At 38.6% G+C, this 21395-nt stretch overlaps 1 protein-coding gene and 1 non-coding gene across 6 annotated transcripts in view; one reads left to right on the plus strand and one right to left on the minus strand.

Moving 5' to 3' along the window:
* FAF1 (Fas associated factor 1) overlaps positions 1-21395 on the minus strand; it is a 523240-nt gene that overhangs the window by 294284 nt on the left and 207561 nt on the right. For all 5 annotated transcript variants that reach the window (NM_007051.3, XM_047442745.1, XM_047442743.1 and 2 more), the window contains 2 exons: positions 13373-13464; positions 7552-7643 (listed from right to left, as the gene is read on the minus strand). In NM_007051.3, the coding sequence (NP_008982.1) occupies positions 7552-7643; positions 13373-13464 (184 nt within the window). The remainder of the gene's footprint in view (positions 1-7551; positions 7644-13372; positions 13465-21395) is intronic.
* On the plus strand, positions 18985-19087 carry LOC124904727 (U6 spliceosomal RNA). Its single transcript, XR_007067274.1, has one exon. It is a non-coding gene; the product is annotated as a U6 spliceosomal RNA (small nuclear RNA).

Genomic DNA, 21395 nt, shown 5'->3' on the forward strand with positions numbered 1-21395 from the left:
CTAGAAGTCCAATTTAGCTGGGGGCTCTCAAAACACTTGTCTTTCTGTTTTATCTTTTCTCTTTTTTTTTTTTTTTTGAGATGGAGTCTCACTCTGTCCCCGGGCTGGAGTGTAGTGGTACAGTCTTGGCTCACTGCAAGCTCTGCCTCCCAGGTTCACGCCATTCTCCTGCCTCAGCCTCCCCAGTAGCTGGGACTACAGGCACCTGCCACCACACCTGGCTAATTTTTGTATTTTTAGTAGAGACGGGGTTTCACTATGTTAGCCAGGATGGTCTCGATCTCCTGACCTCGTGATCCGCCCGCCTTGGCATCCCAAAGTGCTGGGATTACAGGCATGAGCCACCGCGCCCGGCCTCAAAACACTTGTCTTCTAATTGGTGGACTTAAGACTACAAATTTCTAAGTATCATTTTGGCTGTATCCACAGTTTTAGTACCTAGCAATCTCATTTATGTTCACTTCTAAGTATCTGATGTTTGCTATTATGACTTCATTTTTACCCATAAATTGTTTTGAAGTAAATTATCTGTAGGATCCAAATGCATGGGGGATTTGGGATATATGTTTTTATTATTACTTTACTTATAATTTTATTGCATAATGACCAGACAATGCAGTCAATATGATAGTGATTCTTTGATACTGGCTTTGTGTTCTACTACATGGTCAGTTTTCTAAGTATTCCATGAGTGCTTTACGGGGTTATTAAAATCTTCTATAGCTGACAAAGATGTATTGCTAAATACATTATTATTATTATTTATTTATTTATTTATTTTGAGACAGAGTCTGGCTCTGTCGCCCAGGCTGGAGTGCAATAGCCCGATCTCAGCTCACTGCAACCTCTGCCTCCCAGGTTCACGCCATTCTCCCACCTCAGCCTCCCGAGTAGCTGGGACTACAGGCGCCCGCCACCACGCCTGGCTAATTTTTTATATTTTTTAGTAGAGACGGGGTTTCACCATGTTAGCCAGGATGGTCTCAATCTCCTGATCTCGTGATCTGCCCACCTTGGCCTCCCAAAGTGCTGGGATTATAGGCATGAGCCACCACACCTGGCCTTAAATACATTATTTTCTGAAAGATTTTGTGTTCAATGTGGAGTTGGTCTATATCTTCTTGTAATTCTGTCCAATTTTGTAGACTTGTGCATACAAGCCTGCAATTGTCATATCTTCTTGGCAAATTGTCTTTCAATGCTATTTGCCTTAAATTCAATTTTATGTGATATAAATATTATTACTATAGTATATTCTTACAGTTAATATTTCCCTGGGGTCACTTTCTTTTCCTTTATTTTCTCTGTCATTTCTTTAAAAGATGTCTCTTTGGTAAACAACATATGGCTATTTTTGTAAATTCTATTTGAGAGTTTCTGTCTTTAATAGGAGAGTTTAGTACTTTCTTGTTCATGGAGAATTCTGATAAATTTTATTTTTCTTTTTGCCATCATATTTTCTGTTTTCTATTATACTTGTTTTCCTGTGTTTCTGTTTCAGTTTCAAATTGCTGTTTGCTGATGTATTGACTGAGTTCCTCATTCCTTTCTTTCTTCTAGATGTATGCAGGTTATTTACTTCTTTTTTTTTTTAGTGTTTATTCTCTTTATTTATAACACTTATATTTAGATTTATGTTTTTAAAATACAGACTAAAGTTAATCAGTATTTCTAGCCTTCTTCAACTGTAGTTCCCAATAACCACTATCTCTGTGTCGTCACCTCACCTCTACCCCAACTCAGTTTCTCTATCTGCAAAACAGGTAATCGTATCTACTTGTGATTTATTATGATGACCTAATAAGATAACATATATAACAGGCTTGCCAAAAAACCTGGCTTCATAAATGTTAATTACTGTGTCACTGTCACTTATCAGTTTAGCTTCACACTTCCTTAACATCCTTATTCTCATAACTATTACCTATTTTCTATTTTGATGTTATCTATAATTTGGAATCTGTCATCAACCATTACTGTAACAGTACTGAAATCTAGATCCCAGAAATGTTCTCCATCTGTCTCCAATCTTCTATTATTACACCTTTCCTACTGTCTCTAAACCTGTTACCTAATGTCATTTCAACACTTAATCCCTGGGCTCCACCCGTATCTCTCTGCTATGAACTGAATTGTGTCCCCCTAGAATTTATATGTTGACTCTCTAACACCCACTGTGACTGTACTTGGAGACAGCATCTTCAGGATACAATTCAGGTTAAAGGAGGTCATAAGGGCTGGGTCCTAATCTGATGGGATTGATGTCCTTATAAAAAGATGAAGGGAAACCAGAGTTCTCTCTCTCTCCTCTCTCTCTCTGCCATATGAGGACATGGCAGGAAGTTGGGCTTGTAAACCAGGAAGAGAGCTTTCAACAGGAACTGACTCTACTGGAACCTTCATCTTGGAGATTTCCAAACTCAAGAACAAGGAGAAATAAATGCCTATTGTTTAAGCTACCCAGTCTATGGTACTTTGTTATAGCAGCCCTAGCAAACTAAAACAGTTCCATACCCACTCTGCTGCCCAGGCTTGAGTGCAGTGTTGCAATCTCAACTCACTGCAACTTCCACCTCCAGGGTTCAAGCAATTCTCCTGCCTCAGCCTCCTGAGTAGCTCGGGTTACAGGCGTGCACCACCACACCCAGATAATTTTTGTATTTTTAGTAGAGATGGGGTTTCACCATATTGGCCAGCCTGGTCTCAAACTCTTGACCTCAAGCAATCCACTCACCTCGGCCTCTCAAAGTGTTGGGAATACAGGCGTGAGCCACTGCACTCAGTCTTTGGCCACATTTTCTATTTTGGTTTCACTTGTTTACATTTTTCCTACTTGCTGTCTCTTACTCCTTGTGCTTCCAATACTTCTCAAGTATCTTACCTTGACTTCTCCCTCAACTTCTCCTTCCTTCACCATCAAGTTTTCTGAAAATAACAGTAATCATTTCTTCATTTCTTGTTTATCCATGAAAATCTACTATAATCGAGTTCTCATTCTCACCATTCTACCAAAAATGATTTTAACAAAGTTATTAATTACTTATATTCCCAACCCAATGGCTTTTTTAATAATCAGCATCTTGGTTAGAATACACTTCAGTATTTTATACTGTTGGACATTTGAAACGAAAAACACATGTAGGCCGGCCAAGATGGCTCAAGCCTGTAATCCCAGCACTTTGGGAAGCCGAGGCGGGTGGATCACGAGGTCAGGAGATTGAGACCATCCTGGCTAACATGGTGAAACCCTGTCTCTACTAAATATACAAAAAATTAGCCGGGCGTATTGGCGGGCGCCTGTATTCCCAGCTACTCGGGAGGCTGAGGCAGGAGAATGGCGTGAACCCAGGGGGCGGAGCTTGCATTGAGCCGAGATCACGCCACTGCACTCCAGCCTGGGCGATAGAGCGAGACTCCATCTCAAAAAAAAAAAAAAAGAAAAAGAAAAACACATGTAGTAGTACAGAGACATATGATTTTGAATTACAGATAGGACACACACAAATGAAAAACTCCACAGGCAACTGGGACATGTGAGTTGCTAAATAGAGATTTGTAAGTTATCTATACATATTTAGAAATTGAAGAGTTGAGGGTAGATATCAGGGAGAAGGTACAATAAGAAAGACTGCTGAGAAGAGAACTCTCCAGAATACCAACATTTAGAGCAGGTGAAGAAATGAAGAGTTTAGGAAGGAATCTGGGTGAAGCAATCAAAAAGAACACCAGGAATGAGTTGGTATCTAAGAATATTTTCTATACAGGAATAACTTAAGAAAAGGCCTAATCATCTTAATAAATAGGTTACAGGCTACCTGAGGACACAGCTTGTTTTTATTAAGTAATCAATAAGTCATTGATGAACTGAATCTTTCCTGTAATAATATGAAACAGTATAATTAACAGTTTGTTTTCTCCTTCCTAATTTTACTGTGATTTATAATAGAATTTATAGTTGTATCACAGAGGCCACTGGAGTACTGCTTCACCCTTTCAATTAATTAGTGAAATCTGATTTCTTTTTTAAAAGGGCTTAAAATGCTTTTCAACTGTTACAAAGATTATGATTAAGAGTTTGCTCTTCGATTCTCAGAAAGCTTGAAATTCTGTTTTCTGAAACACATAATTTACTTTAAAAACATTCAGTTTACAATTATAGGCACTCATATGGTAATTTTGCTGCTCTTAGTTTATACCATTTCTTCCCCTAGAAAGAAATTATATTAATACAAAGACTCAATTACCAGGCACCCCCTAGTGGCAGTAAAATCAAGTTAAGAAGTTTTTTTGTTTTCTTGTTTTTTAACAGGACATGGTTTGAGATACAGTTTTCTGTATGTATACTTCTTTAACAAAACTTAAGAGTGAGACGGTTTGTCAGTGAACAATTTAATAACTATTTTATTTTATTTATTTTATTTAGAGACAGGGTCTTGCTCTACTGCCCAGGCTTAAAGTACAGTGGCATGATCTCAGCTCACTGTAACCTCAAACTCTTGGGCTCGAGCAATTCTCCTGCCTCAGCCTCCTGAGCAGCTAGGACTACAGGTACGTGCCACAACACCCGGCTATTTCATAAAAATTGTTTGTAGAGATACAGTCTCGCTATGTTCTCCAGGCTGGTCTCAAACTCCTATTGTCAAGTGATCCTCCCACCTCAGCCTCCCAAAGTGCTGGTGTTATAGGCATAAGCTACGGTGCCCGGCCAACATGTTATTTTATATCTACATTATATTAAATGATTAATAATATACTGTAACTAAGAGTGAATTCACACACTGAAATTTCATGCAAATTCTTAAGAATTATAAGTGAGGTAATATACGCCAATGCAATAATATATACATAAACCTTCCCATTTTACTCTACCAATTACACAGTTGTTATATTCATTTGCCAATTCCCAAATATAACACTTAGAATCATAATTATCTTTTTTCTCCTTTTTAGATTATAAATTAGGTTACAAATTACAAATAAGATTTCTAAGAATCCATCAATTGTAACAAAATTCTGCAAAAGCAAATCAGTTTGATTCATTATGAAGTCTAGTACAAAGCAAGTTTATCTGTCTACCATTTTTGATAATATGATATGCTATATAACTTACTAGGATATTGTTTGTTTGATTCTATTATATAGTTAAGATGTAAAGTGGCTGGGCACAGTGGCTCACGCCTGTAATCCCAGCACTTTGGGAGGCCGAGGTGGGAGGATCACCTGAGTTCAGGGGTTTGAGACCAGCCTGTCCAACATGGTGAAACCCCATCTCTACTAAAAATACCAAAAATTAGCCAGGCGTAGTGGTGGGCACCTGTAATCCCAGCTACTCAGGAGGCTGAGACAGGAGAATTGCTTGAACCCAGGAGGCGGAGGTTGCAGTGAGCTGAGATCATGCCATTGTACTCCAGCCTGGGCAACAAGAGCGAAACTCCGTCTCCAAAAAAAGAAAGAAAGAAAAAAAAAAGATGTCAAAATATTTTTATTTGATGAGTCACAAAATAAAACTCACAACTTAAAAATAATTATTACCATCAACTTTTAAGGTTCTGCATGGATTTTGTTTTGTTTTTTAAATTGTCTCCCACAAAATCAGCTTTCAATATATATGCTATTTTAAAAATCTCTAGTTTTATAGAAAGATACATTGAATAAACATACTAAAAGAAGTAAACCCTAGCTTTTAAGTTATGTGTTAATAAAAAGTACATTAACATAACTTTTACATTAGCAGGAGTCTCCATTTGTCCCTCCTCCCACTATGTTTTTTGTTCACCTTTGAACTTTTCTCTCTTATTCTTCCAATACAAAAAAAGAATCATTATAACTTGGTAAAAATCCACAAAGCCAAATAGAGAAGTATATTTTAATGCTAGATAAAGTACTCATTCTCCAATAAACACTGCATTTCAGCAGCACTGTAGACTCCTGCTTGCCTAGGGAGTGAGTGACTGGCAATCAAACTAAGGTCAGCTACATGGCAATGAAGAACGTTTCCATTAGCCCAGGTAGACATTTTGATAAATCCATTTAATCACGCTACTGGAAAGCAACAGATTATAAACAATGACATCTCCTGTCTGCTTTTAATTATGTGGATTACCTATTTTATGACAGTGATTACACTTTGTTAACTAACCTACAAAATAATGTTCTACATGACTAGATACAGAACCATACCTATAACTATTTAACTTAATTTCATCTGAGGTTCACATCAACATTATTATAAACACATGGACCATAAGTTTGTAGTTTGTAATTTTGTAACTGTGTGCAAATTCCACTTCCCATTAACATACGGTCTAAACATAGAAAATAAAGAGCAATCCAAGAACTCTTTAAATTCTTAACCCAAAACCAACTATTAACAGACCATCCAATACAACTACACAAGATTTAACTTTTTCAGTTCAGTGATTTCTACTTCAGTGAAGCCAAATTTAATTTTATTTTTGCTACTATCTACCTAAAAATCAAGACATTTGGCAAGTGGTGGGGGGAAAGCTTGACAATGTTCAAAATTTAGGGACACAAGTCTCCCTACCACAAAAAAATCACCAAGTTGTTGTATTTAAAAGAGAAAAATTTGTATCAACAACAGAAAATCTAAAAATAAACATAGTTCTGGAATAATACTGTATGAAAAGATTCCTCATAAAAATTATTATCACTAGCATAATCATCCACTATAGGTCAGTTTGCTTCATTAAACAATAAAAAACGTAATGTATAATTAAAAATTAAAATCATGTGATCATTGTATAAATGTATTGAGTTCCACTGTGAAAACTGAAAAAACAATGAGACCCTCTATTCCAGAGAGAAAATCTTAATAAAAAATTTACATCACCAGGCACAGTGGCTCATGCCTGTAATCCCAGCACTTTGGGAGGCCGAGGTGGGCAGATCACCTAAGGTCAGGAGTTCAAGACCAGCCCGACCAACATGGAGAAACCCCATCTCTACTAAAAATGCAAAATTAGCTGGGCATGGTGGCACATGCCTATAATCCCAGCTACTCAGGAGGCTGAGGGAGGGGAATCACTTGAATCCGGGAGGCAGAGGTTGCGGTGAGCCAAGATCGTACCATTGCACCTCAGTCTGGGCAACAAGAGTGAAACTCCGTCGCAAAAAAAAAAAAAAAAAAAAATTATATCAGTGTTTTTCAAGCTTTACTCTGCAGAGCTCAATGAATTTTCCTCAAAGGTATGCTTTCTTTAGCAATGAGAGAGATTGGAACTCCATTTATACTTTCTCTTCCTTCCAACTTGGATCCTTTCCCTTCAGTCAGAGAAGTACCATTTTGACAATTTTTAAAAATTATACTGGAGTTATGCTAAAGACTTTAAAGTGGTATAAGAGGACTATACCGTTAAAACAAACTATCCAGAACAAACTGTTTCAAACCTGATATACTTCATAGTAGTTGGTAAGGTCAATTTCAACAAGACTTGTATTTGATTTAATTTTGAGGTTTATATACAACTTAAAGCAATTTTAACAACTGAGTTTTTCATTTCATGTTCCCAGGAAATATAAACAACTTACCCAGCATGACTAGATGATGAAGGTGGTGGCAAATCTGGTGTAAGGACATAAAGACTGTTGTTTTTTGGCAAGTGTAGAGATTTTAGGACCGTCTGAAAAAGAAAAAACACAGCAAAAAATGAATGTTGATGTTGATTATTCATTATTGATTTTTCCTGTAATTCTTGAAAAATTGTTAATTTTGTAGTTTTTTTTATCTTTTGATAATTTCCTAAATAGGGTAATGCAAAAGAACTACTGAATCCAAGTAACCTTATTGCCCATATATATAATATATACATATATAGGGGAAATATGGTTGTATACCTATATATATTGTATGTATACAACATTCAGGTTTATGCTAGTTTATTTTATATATGTATATGCATACATATATATGTGTGTCTATATATGTGCATGTGTACATGTGCATACATATACATATGTACATGTGTACACGTACATGCATATACATGTGTACATGTGTACACGTACATGCATATACATGTGTACATGTGTACACGTACATACATATACATATATGTGTGTTTATGTGTATGTGTATACATGTGAGTGTATGTGTATGTGTGTATATATGTGTATACACACATACACATATATAAAATGAACTAGCATAAACCTGAATGTTAATATATAAACTCTTTAGCTCATGAAGCAACACAAACAGATAAGAACACAGTTGGGACTCAATTACTTTTTCACTGAAGAAGTATATCCTTGCAAATAATATATACTTCGTTTCAGGGTCATCATGGCAAAAATTGGCAATATAGGTTTTCAGAGATCATTAGACCTTGAAAAGATCACTGAGAGCACCTCAAGCCAACGATTTTATAGATGGGAAGCTATATAGCCTGAGAGGTTAGGTAACTTGGATGAGGTCTCTGGTGTTACCTATATATCTTTTACTCCAGATATCTTTTTTGTTAAAGCTCTCACTCTTTGAAATGAATAAATTACTATTGTACTACATATGACCTACTATCTTGATAAGCACAGAAAATTTCATTCACCAAATTTCTTTGCCAGAAAATTCACATACATTTCAAACTCCTAACCTGAAGGTAAAAACTTGCTGAAGTACTTCAAATGTTTCTTGAAACCAATACACATTAAGAAATACATTGTATACCTTTACATCATAAGCCAGGAAATGCACTTATCAACAGATATTTTTTGAGCCACCTACTCTGTATCAGGACTACTCTAGCCACTGAGAATATAGCATTGAACAGAACAGCCTAAAATAAAATTCTCTGATCTTAGGGAGCTTACATTTGAGTAGGAATAAATAAGTAACCCTATATAGTTGAATGTTGAAAGTGACAATTTTTTGACTAAAAATAAAGCAGGGAAGGGGGGATAAAGAATGTGGGGTTGAGCTTAGCAATTTTAAACAGGGCCATCAAGGTGGGTCTCACTTGGAGAATGTGACATTTGAGCAAAAACTTAAAAGGTGAAGGAAGCAAACCATGAGAATATATAGAGAAAGAATATATTCCTTCCTGGGGAGGGGCAATCTTACACAAGCATGGAACATATGGAACTTATTCTTAACCCCTCCATGAGAGGACCCAGCTTATTAAGTGTGCAGTCTTAATCCAAGGGTATTGAGACTTACTCTTGACTCATATTAGTTATGTGTTAAATGAAAAGAAATACATAATTACCCTTATTATTTGAAATACACTCTGGCGTTTCCTATTGTATTCTATTTCTCTTTTTTCATTTCTTTCTTCTTCTGTTTTGTTTGTTTGTTTTTGTTTAATGCTGCTGACTATAACCCACTCGATTAACTTCCCAATCCACTAATGGTTTATGGTCCATAGTTTGAAAAAAACATTGCATTTGGCAATTACCTATAACTTTACAATTTACCAGGAGACATGGACATCCTGAAACTTTATGTCAAATATGTGATATCCTTTTGAAATTGATGAGTTATCTCTATAGAGTTAACATGCAAACAACACACACACACACACACAAATTATTTTTCTCTTTTTATCTTTCATTGTTTTACTTTGTGAATTATTGGTAAATGCTTGCCATTTGATCATTATTGTTCTTTTTCCATGCCACTATCCAAAGATTTTCTATTAAATTTTCCCATCAAACCACATATGGAAAGATTAAATAAAATGGATACTTTCCTTAAGTTATTTACTCATGCATTCATCCCATAAACATTTATTTCAGGTCTGTTATGCCAGGCTTTAAATATACGATGATGAAAGAAACAGATATGGTCCCTCTATTAATACTGGTGTGATGGAGAATGCTGGGATGGGACCAAATTAGATACAGAAGCCTGTTGGAGAAGGTAACCTTAAGCTGAGACTTGAATGATGAAAAAGAGACACCCATGTGAAGAACAGGAGGTAAAGCATTCCAGGCAGTTGAATAGCATCTGTCAGACAAAGATGTAAAGAGCTTGAGCCTATTAAAAGATTTCAAAAAAGGTTTCTGTGGCTGGAACATGGAAAGTGAGAGTAAGAAAGGCTCAAGATGATGTTGTAGAGGCGAGAATGGGGTAATACAATAACTTTTAAACTATTGTGAGTAGTCTGAATTTTATTTGAAATGTAATAAAAAAGCTATGTTTTAATGGGAGAGTGATATAATTCAATTTATGTTTTTAAAAGATCACTCTGACTGCTGTGTGGAGAATGCACTGGAAGAAACACTGAAAGGAAGCTGAGACAACAATAATGAAGTTACCATATTGCTCCAGACAAGAGATGCTCATGGCCTCATGGCCTGAATTAAGCAGTTGCAACTGAAATACTAAAAAGTGGCCATGGTTGAGATACATTTTAAAGATCGAATCTACAGAATATAACAAAGGATTAGGTGCTGTAAGAAATGAGAAAAGACTGATGGCCAGTTTTGGATTCAGCAGTGGCTATAATCATTGTGCTACTTCTTGGGGGAAGATTGGTAGAGATATGGGATAGGAGGGAAAATCAAGAGTTCCATTTTAAACACGTTAAGTTTGAGACACCAATAAGATATACAAGTACAAAAGTCAATTACCAGTTTGGATATGTGAATTCAAAAAAGTATGAGCTGAAAATATAAATTCGGAGGCAATCAGAAAATTAATGTCATGGGAATAGCAGAAATCACCTAGTGAAGAGTACATAGAAATAAGTAACTGAGGCTGGGTGCCATGGCTCATGCCTGTAATCTCAGCACTTTGGGAGGCCAAGGCAGGAGGACTGCATGAGTCCAGGAATTCAGGATCAGTCTGGAAAACATAGCAAGACCCTGTCTCTACAAAAATTTAAAAAAAAAAAAAATTAGCCAGGCGTGGTGCACATCTATAGTCCTAGCTACTTAGAAGGCTGAGGTAGAAGCATCACTTGAGTCTAGGAGGTCAAGGCAGCAATGAGCCATGATTGTACCGCTGCACTCCAGCCTAAGCAACAGGGTGAGAACTCATCTCATAAAAAGAAAAAAGAAGAAGAAAGAAGTAAATTGAAGTATTTGTAACCAAGGCTGTGTTCAAATTTGGGAGGGGGGGTGTGGCGGGGGAGAGAGACTCTTGCTCTGTCGCCCAGGATGGAGTGTAGTGGCAAAATCTCAGCTCACTGCAACCTCCACCTCCCAGGTTCAAGCGATTCTTGTGCCTCAGCCTCCTGAGCAGCTGGGAATACAGGTGTGCACCACCACGCCCAGCTAATTTTTATATTTTTAGTAGAGACAGGGTTTTGTCATGTTGTCCAGGCTGATCTCAGACTCCTGGCCTCAAGTGATCTGCCTGACTCAGCTTCCCCAAGTGTTGGGATTACAAGGGTGAGCCACTCCACCCAGCTGACTGATTCATACCCACAGGTTTCTCAATGAATGAATGAATAAATAACTACAAAAGCGAACTCATTTTGGTGTTTTCTTTCTGTCAAGGTTGTTGATTTACTCAGTCAGCACTTTTAAAAAGTTTTAATCCATGCATCAGCAGCAGCGGGGGATAGCAAACTATGGCCTGTGGGTCAAACCCAGCCTGCTGCCTGTTTTTGTATGGCCTGTGAGTTAAGAATGGTTTTCACTTTTTTTAAAGGTTGGAAAATAAATCAAAAGAATATTTTATGGCATGTGAAATTACATAAAATTCAAATGTCTGCATCCATAAACATACTGAAACATAATTATGCTCGATGTTTCACATATTGTCTACGGCTGCTTTCCCACTAAGAGAGCAGTGATTAAGTAGCTGTATGGCACACAAAGCCTAAAATATTTACTATCTGACTCTGTACAGAAAAAGTTTGCTGCCACCTAATCTAAACTTATCTGTATCTTGCCAACCCAAACTTCCTGTAAATATCTCACTGAAATACTCAGAACATCTCCAAATTTCAAATGAACTCATATATAAGTACTTATAAACACAATGACTGCAAGAAGCCATTCACGAAGAAGAACTGAACCAAAAGTTGAAGTTTTTATATTTTTATTTATTTTTATTTATCTTTTTTTTGAGATAGGGTCTCACTCTGTCGCCCAGGCTAGAGTACAGTGGCACGATCTCGGCTCATGGCAGCCTCCACCTTGTGGGTTCAAGCAATTCTCCCACCTCAGCCTCCCGAGTAGCTTGGATTACAGGGGCGTGCCACCACGCCCAGCTAATTTTTGCATTTTTAGTAGAGATGGGGTTTTACCATGTTGGCCAGGCTGGTCTCGAACCCCTGACCTCAGGTGATTCACTTGCCTCGGCCTCCCAAAGTGATAGGATTATAGGCGTGAGCCACTGCGCCCAGCCAAAAGTTGAAAATTCTAAGTTTATGCCTGGCCATTAAAATGACCCAGTAACTAATGTGAAAACATTCAATAATTATTTCCACCTCAAACATCTAAAACTCTAGAACTAACTCATTTTTTTTCCTTCTTTCTCCACTCTCTCTGGAAGAAAAAAAAGTGTGTAAGCCCAGGTGCAGCAGCTCACACCTATAATCCCAGCACTTTGGAAGGCCGAGGCAGGTGGATCACAAGGTCAGGAGTTCGAGACCAGCCTGGCCAACATGGTGAAACCTCATCTCTACTAAAAATGCAAAAATTAGCTGGGCGTGGTGGCACGCACCTGTAGTCCCAGCTACCTGGGAGGCAGAAGCAGGAGAATTGCTTGAATCCAGGAGGCAGAGTTTGCAGTGAGGCGAGATCATGCCACTACACTCCAGCATGGGCAACAGAGCGAGACTGTCTCAAAAAAAAAAAGTGTGTAAAAAATGTTATATCTGAGGTTGCTACTGGGTTCCTAAGAATAGCAACTATTTCCTTAAAATTGCAATACTCTCTGCAAATTCTTAAAATATAATTCATTCCATGCACCTGCCACTATCCAAGTCAACAAGGAAAACAACATCCTTATTTAAATTCTCCAAGTTTAAAAAATTTCCTATTATCTTTGTTCCATAATCAATACTTGACATAAATGTATACGCTGCATGTGACTTCTTTCGGACCAATATGTAATTGCTCAGAAAATTATTATTCCAGGGCATTCACTGATACTCTAGGAGGTTTGAGAAAAAGGTAAAGCCTCTCAAAAAAAGGGCCAAACTCCTTTAAAAGTTAGAAATAGGAAAAACATGCCATATACTGTTTTCATTTACAAATCTACTCATTTACAATTGTTATTGGTTTATCATGAAATATTTTAGCTTAGAAAACACTACTTGCTGATTCCTTAAACTAAATTACTATTGCCAAATCTACTACTGCCATATGTAACAACATTAATTAAAACCAATTTTTACATATCATTTAATCAATGGCATAACTTAATTTTCTTTTATTTCTATGCAATTAAGAAACTCACACTGTCTTCCACATCTCCCGTCTTCCAGCCTTTTAACAGCATTTTGGACACAGGTATCTGAAGTTCATTTTCTAGAATCTGTTTAATCTCTCCTGTATAAATAAGAAGAGATCAAATATTACTAACAAAATAACACAGTTAACATTTGTCCATATCCAGAGCTAACACTAATATGTGGCATACAGTGTACAGTCAATGACATTTGTCTGATGAATATTTCTGTATCTATAAAATGGGAAATAATATTATTTATCTTATCTTGCCTTAGGATCTGAGGATGACAAAAGATAGCATACATTAATGAAACTAAAAAATAAAGCTAGGCTGGGTGTGGTTGCTCATGCCTGTAATCCCAGCACTTTGAGAGGCCAAGGTGGGCAGATCACCTGAGACCAGGAGTTCAAGACTGGTCTGACCAACATGGTGAAACTCTGTTGAAACCCTGTCTCTATTAAAAATACAAAAAAATTAGCCAAGCGTGGTGGCACACACCTGTAATCCCAGCTACTCAAGAGGCTGAGGCAGGAGAATCACTTGAACCTGGGAGGCAGAGGTTGCAGTGAGCCGAGATCGTGCCACTGCACTCCAGCCTGGGTGACAAGAGAAAAACCCCATCTCAAAAAATTAAAAACAAAAAATAATAAAGCTAATATATAGATAATAATATATAGGAGACAATTTAAACTGTATTAAAGAGAAGAGCAACAAGAATTTCAGAAAAGAAAAAAAATGTTGATATGGTTTGAATTTGTGGCCCTGCTCAAATCTCATGTCAAATTGTAATTCCCAGTGTTGGAAGTGAGGCCTGATGGGAGGTGACTGGATCATAGGGGGCTGATTTCCCTCTTTGATGCTGTTCTTGTGGTAGGGTTCTCAGGAGATCTGGTTGTTTAAAAGTGTGTGCTACCTTTCCTCTCTCTTCATCCTGCTCTGGCCTGCTCCCACTTTGCCTTCTGCCATGAGTAAAAGCTCCCTGGGCCTCCTTAGAAGCAGATGCTGCCTTGCTTCCTATAAAGTCCATGGAACAGTGAGACAATTAAACTCTTTTTCTTTACAAATTATCCAGTCTCGGGTATTTTTTATAGCAGTGTGAAAACAAACTAACAGAGAGAATTGCTACTGAAAAGTGGGGCATTGCTATAAAGACACCTGAAAATGTGGAAGCGTCTCTGAAACTGGGTAATGGGCAGAGGCTGGAAGAGTGCAGAGAGCTCAGAAGACAAGAAGATGAGGGAAAATTAGGAACTTCCTAGAGACTTATCAACTTGTTGTCAACAAAATGCTGACAGTGATATGGACAATGAAGTCCAGGCTGAGGAGAGCTCAGATGGAAATAAGGAACTTATTGGGAACTGGAGCAAAAGTCACTTTTGTTATGTGTTAGCAAAGAACCTGGTGGCATTGTGCCCCTGCCTAGAGATCTGTGGAACTTTGAAGTTGAGAATGATGACTTAGGATAACTGGAGGAAGAAATTTCTAAGGAACAAAGCATTCAAGATGTTGCCTGGCTGCTTCTAGTACCCTACGCTCGTATGTGTGAGCAAAGAAATGACCTGAAACGAACATATATATATATATATATATATATATATATATATATATATATATATTTTTTTTTTTTTTTTTTTTTTTTTTTTGAGACAGAGTTTCACTCTTGTTGCCCAGGCTGGAGTGCGACGGCGTGATCTCTGCTCACCACAACCTCTGCCTCCTGGGGTCAAGCAATTCTCCTGCCTCAGCCTCCCAAGTAGCTGGGATTACAGGCATGCACCACCACACCTGGCTAATTTTGTATTTTTAGTAGAGATGGGGTTTCTCATGTTGGTCAGGCTGGTCTCAAACTCCCAACCTCAGGTGATCCGTCTGCCTCAGCCTCCCAAAGTGCTGGGATTACAGGCATGAGCCACCGAGCCCGGCCAATGAATTTATATTTTAAAGGGAAGCAGAGTGTAAAAGTTTGAAAAATTTGTAGCCCAGTTATGTGGTAGAAAAGAAAAGCCAATTTTCAGGGGAGAAATTCAAGCGGGCTGCAGAAGTTTACATAAGTAAAGAAAAGCCAAGTGCTGATAGCTAAAACAATGAAGAAAAGGCCTCACAGGCATTTCACAGACCTTCACAGCAGCCCCTGCCATCACTGGCCCAGAGGCCTACGAGGTGGGTGAGACCCAGGGCCTCACCACCCTGCACAGACGCAGGAAACTGCTCCCTGCATCCTGGCTGCTCTGTATCCAGCCATGGCTCAAAGGAACCTGGGTACTGTTTGGGCCGCTGCTTCCATGTGGTGTTAAGCCTGCAGGTGCACAGAATGCAAGAGTTGAGGCATGGGGGCCCCCGCATAGATTTCAGATGCTATATGGAAAAGCCTGGATGTCCAGGCAGAAGCCCTCATGGAGAATCTCTACTAGGACAGTGCAGAGAAGAAATGTGAGGTTGGACCCCCACACACACAGTCTCCATTGGGGCACTGCCTGGTGGAGCTGTGAGAAGAAGGCCACCATCATCCAGACCCTGGAATGATAGATCCACTAAATACCCTGCACCTGGACAAGCTGGAGGCACTCAACACCTGCCCTTGAGAGCAGCCATGGAAGCTGAACACTTCCAAGCCACAGGGGTGTAGCTGCCCAAGGCTTTGGGAGCCCACCCCTTGCATCATTGTACCCTGGATATGAGACATGGAGTCAAAGGAGATTATTTGGAACATTAAGATTTAATGACTATCCTGCTGGGTTTTGAACTTGCACAAGGCCTATAGCATCATTCTTTTGGCCATTTTCTCCCTTTTGGAATGGGAGTATTTACTCAATGCCTATACCCCCATTTTATCTTAGGAGTAAGTAACCTGCTTTTGCTTTTACAGGCTCACAGGTAAAAGGGACCAGCCTTGTCTCAGATGAGACTTTGGACTTCTGAGTTAGTGCCAGAATGAAGTAAGACTTTGGAGGACTGCTGAGAAGGGATGATTGTATTTTGCAATGTGAGAAGGACATGAGATTTGGGAGGGGCCACGGGTGAAATAATATGGTTTGGATTTGCATCCCCAATCATGTTAAATTATAATCCTGAGTGTTGGCAGTGGGGTCTGGTAGGAGGTGACTGAATCATGTGTGACAGATTTCCCCCTCTGGTGCTGTTCTTGTGATACAGTTCTCGTGAGATCTGGGTGTTTAAAAGTGTGTGCCACCTCCCCTCTCTCTCTTCCTCCTGCGCTGGCAATGTGACGATGTCTGCTCCTGCTTTGCCTTCCACCACGAGTAAAGGCTCCCTGAAGCCTCCCCAGAAGTAGATGTTGCCATGCTTCCTGTATAGCCTGCAGAACTGCGAACCAATTAAACCTTTTTTCTTTATAAATTACCCAGTCTCAGGTATTTTTTTATAGCACTGCCAGAACAGACTAATACAAATGTGTTGTATCAGATAGAGAAAGCTTTGTGAGAGAAATGAGACTTAAATTAAACTTGAAGTATAGTTGGTCTGCAAAGGACAGACAAACCAAAATAAGGAAGGATACTCTATACAGTAAAGAAAAATGCCAGGCGTGGTGGCTCATGCCTGTAATCCCAGCACTTTGGGAGGCCAAGGCAGGCAGATCAACTGAGGTCAGGAGTTCGAGACCAGCCTGCCCAACATGGTGAAACCCTGTCTCTACTAAAAATACAAAAAATTAGCCAGGCGTGGTGGCACATGCCTGTAATCCCAGCTACTCAGGAGGCTGAGGCAGGAGAATCACTTGAACCTGGGAGGCGGAGGCTGCAGTGAGCCAAGATTGCACCACTGCACCTAGATGACAAGAGTGAAACTCTGTCTCAAAAAAAAAAAAAAAGAAAAGAAAAAAAGAAAAATGACTGAAAGGTAAAAAAGCAAAAATAGACATGATGCTAATGAGAAACAGTGAGAAATCACAATTTTCCCTGTGCCCCACAATTATTTTTCAGGAATCAAATCTACTTATAAATTAATCAGCTGATTTCTGGCACTACACTATTTTAAAGATCAGTGAATCAGAATGTACTTATCTTTCATATATCTGCTTATGTTAGGTTGCTGCTAGTCTACAGTTTCAGATTAAAATATAATTCAATTCCATTTACAGTTAAGTACATGAATACCAAAAAGACTGATTATATTACATATTAAAAGAAGAAAAATAATTCCATGCTGATGAAGAAAAAGAAGAGTGGGGGGAGAACTTAAGATACACAAGTTCTATGGGAACACAACTACCTAAGTAAGCAATGCTACAATGCAATTATTCATGGTCTCAATGATACTTTTTAACTTTCCTTAAAAAGATCCCTATCTGAGCACTTTGGATAGTGATTAACTATCATAAAAATAATTCTGGTTCAACACTATAGTTGTGGAAGCAAAAACTTTAATCAATCTTGGCCTTCAAAAATGTCACTGCTGACAAAGAATCATTCTGTTTATGGAAAGAGTAGAAAAATAAGTCACAGTTTTTATACCAAACACATATAAACATTGCCTTTTTGCTTGTGGCTGAGGTTGATATTTCTAGAGCTGTACCTGTCTGGAACTGAGCTTATGCATTTGCAAGTCTGTCCAGTGCTCAGAAACCAATCTCCAAGACCTGACACCACCTTCTTACACTCTTGAAAACACTCTGAGCCCTCATGACTTAAAAGAAGTTTCTTAAAGGAAAAACAAGAAGGGACTTTAACTTAAAGTCCCAGTTACTCTTGCAGAAAGCCTGGGTAACACATGAGACAAATAGCCTTTTGTTCCACAGAAAGAGAGGAATAGAAAAAAAGCTGGAATCATGACAGCAACCTGAGTTCCTCATATTTTAAAAATTACTCTCTATTGCAAGGTGGCTCATGCCTATAATCCCAGCACTTTGGGAAGCCAAGGTAGAAGGACAGCTTGAGCTCAGAAGTTTGAGACCAACATGAGCAACACAGCAAGACACCACCACTGCAAAAAATTTTTAATAATTAGCTAGGCATGGTGGTACATGCATGTAGTCCCAGCTATTCAGGAGACTGAGGCAGGAGTACTGCTTGAGACCAGGAGATGGAGGCTGCAGTGAGCCATGATCGTTGCCACTGCACTCTATCCTGGATGACAGAGTGAGAACCTGTCTCAGAGAAAAAAAAAAAAACACGATTCTCAGCCTCAATCTCTTCTTCTGCAAAGTGGAAATGACAACCGTAGAACAAACACTTCGTTGGGTTGCTGTATTAAGTGACATAATTCACGAAAAATGTTTTGCAGAGTGCCTAATACATACTAAGGAACTCAAAAAATGTTATTTTGAGTTGTATTATTATTATTACAATTAATGAGATAACATACACATAAGTGCCTAGCATAGTACCTGGGCAGTATAGGTTCTCAAAACACAGGAGTTACTGTTTTTAGGAAATCCAAAATAATTCAGGGGAACAAAGTACTGGAATGTAGCAAGTTTCAGAGCCAGAATTCATATTTGTGTCTACCTAACTCCAAAGATCTTACCACAAGATGGCACTGCCACTGCAGTATCCCACCCCAGGCCACGTTCCTTGAAAAATTGTGAAGACATGCAGATGTCATCAAGAACAAATCACTGAATCCAATAGCATACTTTTGTATTTAAAAAATTAACTTAAGTGCTTGCTTTGGCAGCATATATACTAAATTTGGAACAATACAGAGAAGATTAGCATGATAAATAAGAATTTAAAACATTAACTTAATTGGATTATGATTTATATGTAATAAAACTCACTCATGAGTTTAGCCAAATATATACAGTGTTATAACCACCATACAATCAAGATAAGAACATTTCCCATAGCACAAAAACTTTCCTCATACATTCTTAGATCAAAAGCCTGCCCCTACTCACACTGATCCTCCTTCTCACCCTAAAGATTACTTTTGTCTGGGTTCCTTTGTTTGGAGTAATGTTTTCGAGATTTATCCTTTTTCTTTTCTTTTTTTTTTTTTTTTCATTTGAAACAGTATCTCTCTGTTGCCCAGGCTGGAGTGCAGTGGCGCAATCTCGGCCCACTGTAACCTCCACCTCCTGGGTTCAAGTGATTTTCCTGCCTCTGCCTCCCGAGTAGCTGGACTACAGGCACATCCCACCACACTCAGCTAATTTTTGTATTTTTAGTAGAGACGGGGGTTAACCATGCAGGCCAGGCTGGTCTCAAACTCCTGACCACAAGTGATCTGCCTGCCTTGGCCTCTCAAAATGCTGGGATTATAGGCATGAGCCACCGCACCTGGCCAGATTTATCCATGTTTATATGCGTACAAACAAATAGCTCCAAGTTTAGCTCTTTTTTTTTTTAACATGAAATGGGTGTTGAATATTGTCAAATGCTTTTTCTTATTTACTATACTAATATGGGGATGTACAGTGATGGATTATAAGCTGTTAAACAAGCTGTACATCCCCATATTAGTATAGTAAATGAGAAAAAGCATTTGACAATATTCAACACCCATTTCATGTTAAAAAAAAAAAAGAGCTAAACTTAGAGCAAAGTAGGAATATAAGGCAGCTTTGTAAACTTGATAGAGGGCATTGCTGAAGAACCTACAATAGTTGATAATGAAATACTAAATACTAAGTATTTCCCTCCTACGATCAAGAGCAGTGCTAGGGCCATTCAGCACTATTCAGCATTTCTATTTGTTTGATTGTTTGTTTGTTTTGAGATGGAGTCTCACTTTGTGGCCCATGCTGGAGTGCAGCAGCATGATCTCGGCTTACTGTAACCTCTGCCTCCTCCGCCTCCCAGGTTCAAGCAATTCTCCTGCCTCAGCCTCCCATGTAGCTGGGACTACAGGCACGTGCCACCACGCCTGACAAATTTTTGTATTTTTAGTAGAAACAGGGTTTCACCACGTTGGCCAGACTGGTCTTGAACTCCTGACCTCATGATCCACCCACCTCAGCCTCCCAAAGTGCTGGGATTACAGGCGTGAGCCACTGCACCCAGCCTACTATGTTTTTGTAAACAAGCCACATGGCCTACTTGGCTATGATGTATACTATAAACGTATTTATACATTTTATTATATTTTACTGAATTCAGTTTGCAACTATTTTGTAAAGGATTTCTCCCTCCATAGTTATAAGAAATATTTTCCTGTAAAAATCTCTATCTAATTTTGGTATTAGGGTAATGCTAGCTTCATAAAATAAATGAGGCAATGTTTCATCTCTCTCTTTTTTGCGAAGGACTGGTAATAGTTCTTCCTTAAATATTAGACAGAATTCACCAGAAAAGCCATCTAGCGTTTCAGGTTTTCTTTGTGGGAAGGTTTTGTTTTTGTTTTTGTTTTTTGAGACACAGTCTCACTCTATTGCCCAGGCTGGAGTGCAGTGGCACTATCTTGGCTCACTGCAACCTCCGCCTCCCAGGTTCAAGCGATTCTCCTGCCTCAGCCTCTTGAGTAGTTGGGACTACAGGCGCGTGCCACCACACCCAGCTAACTTTTGCATTTTTAGTAGAGACGGGGGTCTCGTCCTGTTGGCCAGGCTGGTCTCGAACTCCTGACCTCAGGGGAGCTGCCCACCTTGGCCTCCCCAAAGTGCTAGGATTACAGGTGTGAGCCACCATGCCAGGCCCTTTTTGTGGGAAGGTTTTGATTGACAATTCAATTTATATATTTGATGTACAGCTATTCAAATTTTTTACTTCTGTGAATGTGGTAACTTGTACCTTTAAAATAATTTTTCTAACCTTTTAGAGTTTCATGTAAATTTACCAGCATAAGTTTGTTCTTAATATCACCTTATAGTCCATGTAATGTACGTAGGCGCTTCTTTCATTCCCAATATGAATAACTTGTGTTTTCTCTTCTGTTCTTGTTTTTCACACTAGCAAAATAATTATCAGTTTTATTAATCTTTTTAAAAAACAGCTTTAGGTTTTGTTCATTTTCTCTACTACTTATCCATTTTCCACTTACTGTTTTCTGCTCTTATACATATTATTATGCTTCTGTACTTACTTTGGGTTTGATTTGCTCATTTTTTTGGTTTTGTTTTGTTTTTTTGAGA

This window comes from Homo sapiens, chromosome 1 (genome assembly GCF_000001405.40).
Source record: "Homo sapiens chromosome 1, GRCh38.p14 Primary Assembly".
Taxonomy (NCBI): domain Eukaryota; kingdom Metazoa; phylum Chordata; class Mammalia; order Primates; family Hominidae; genus Homo; species Homo sapiens.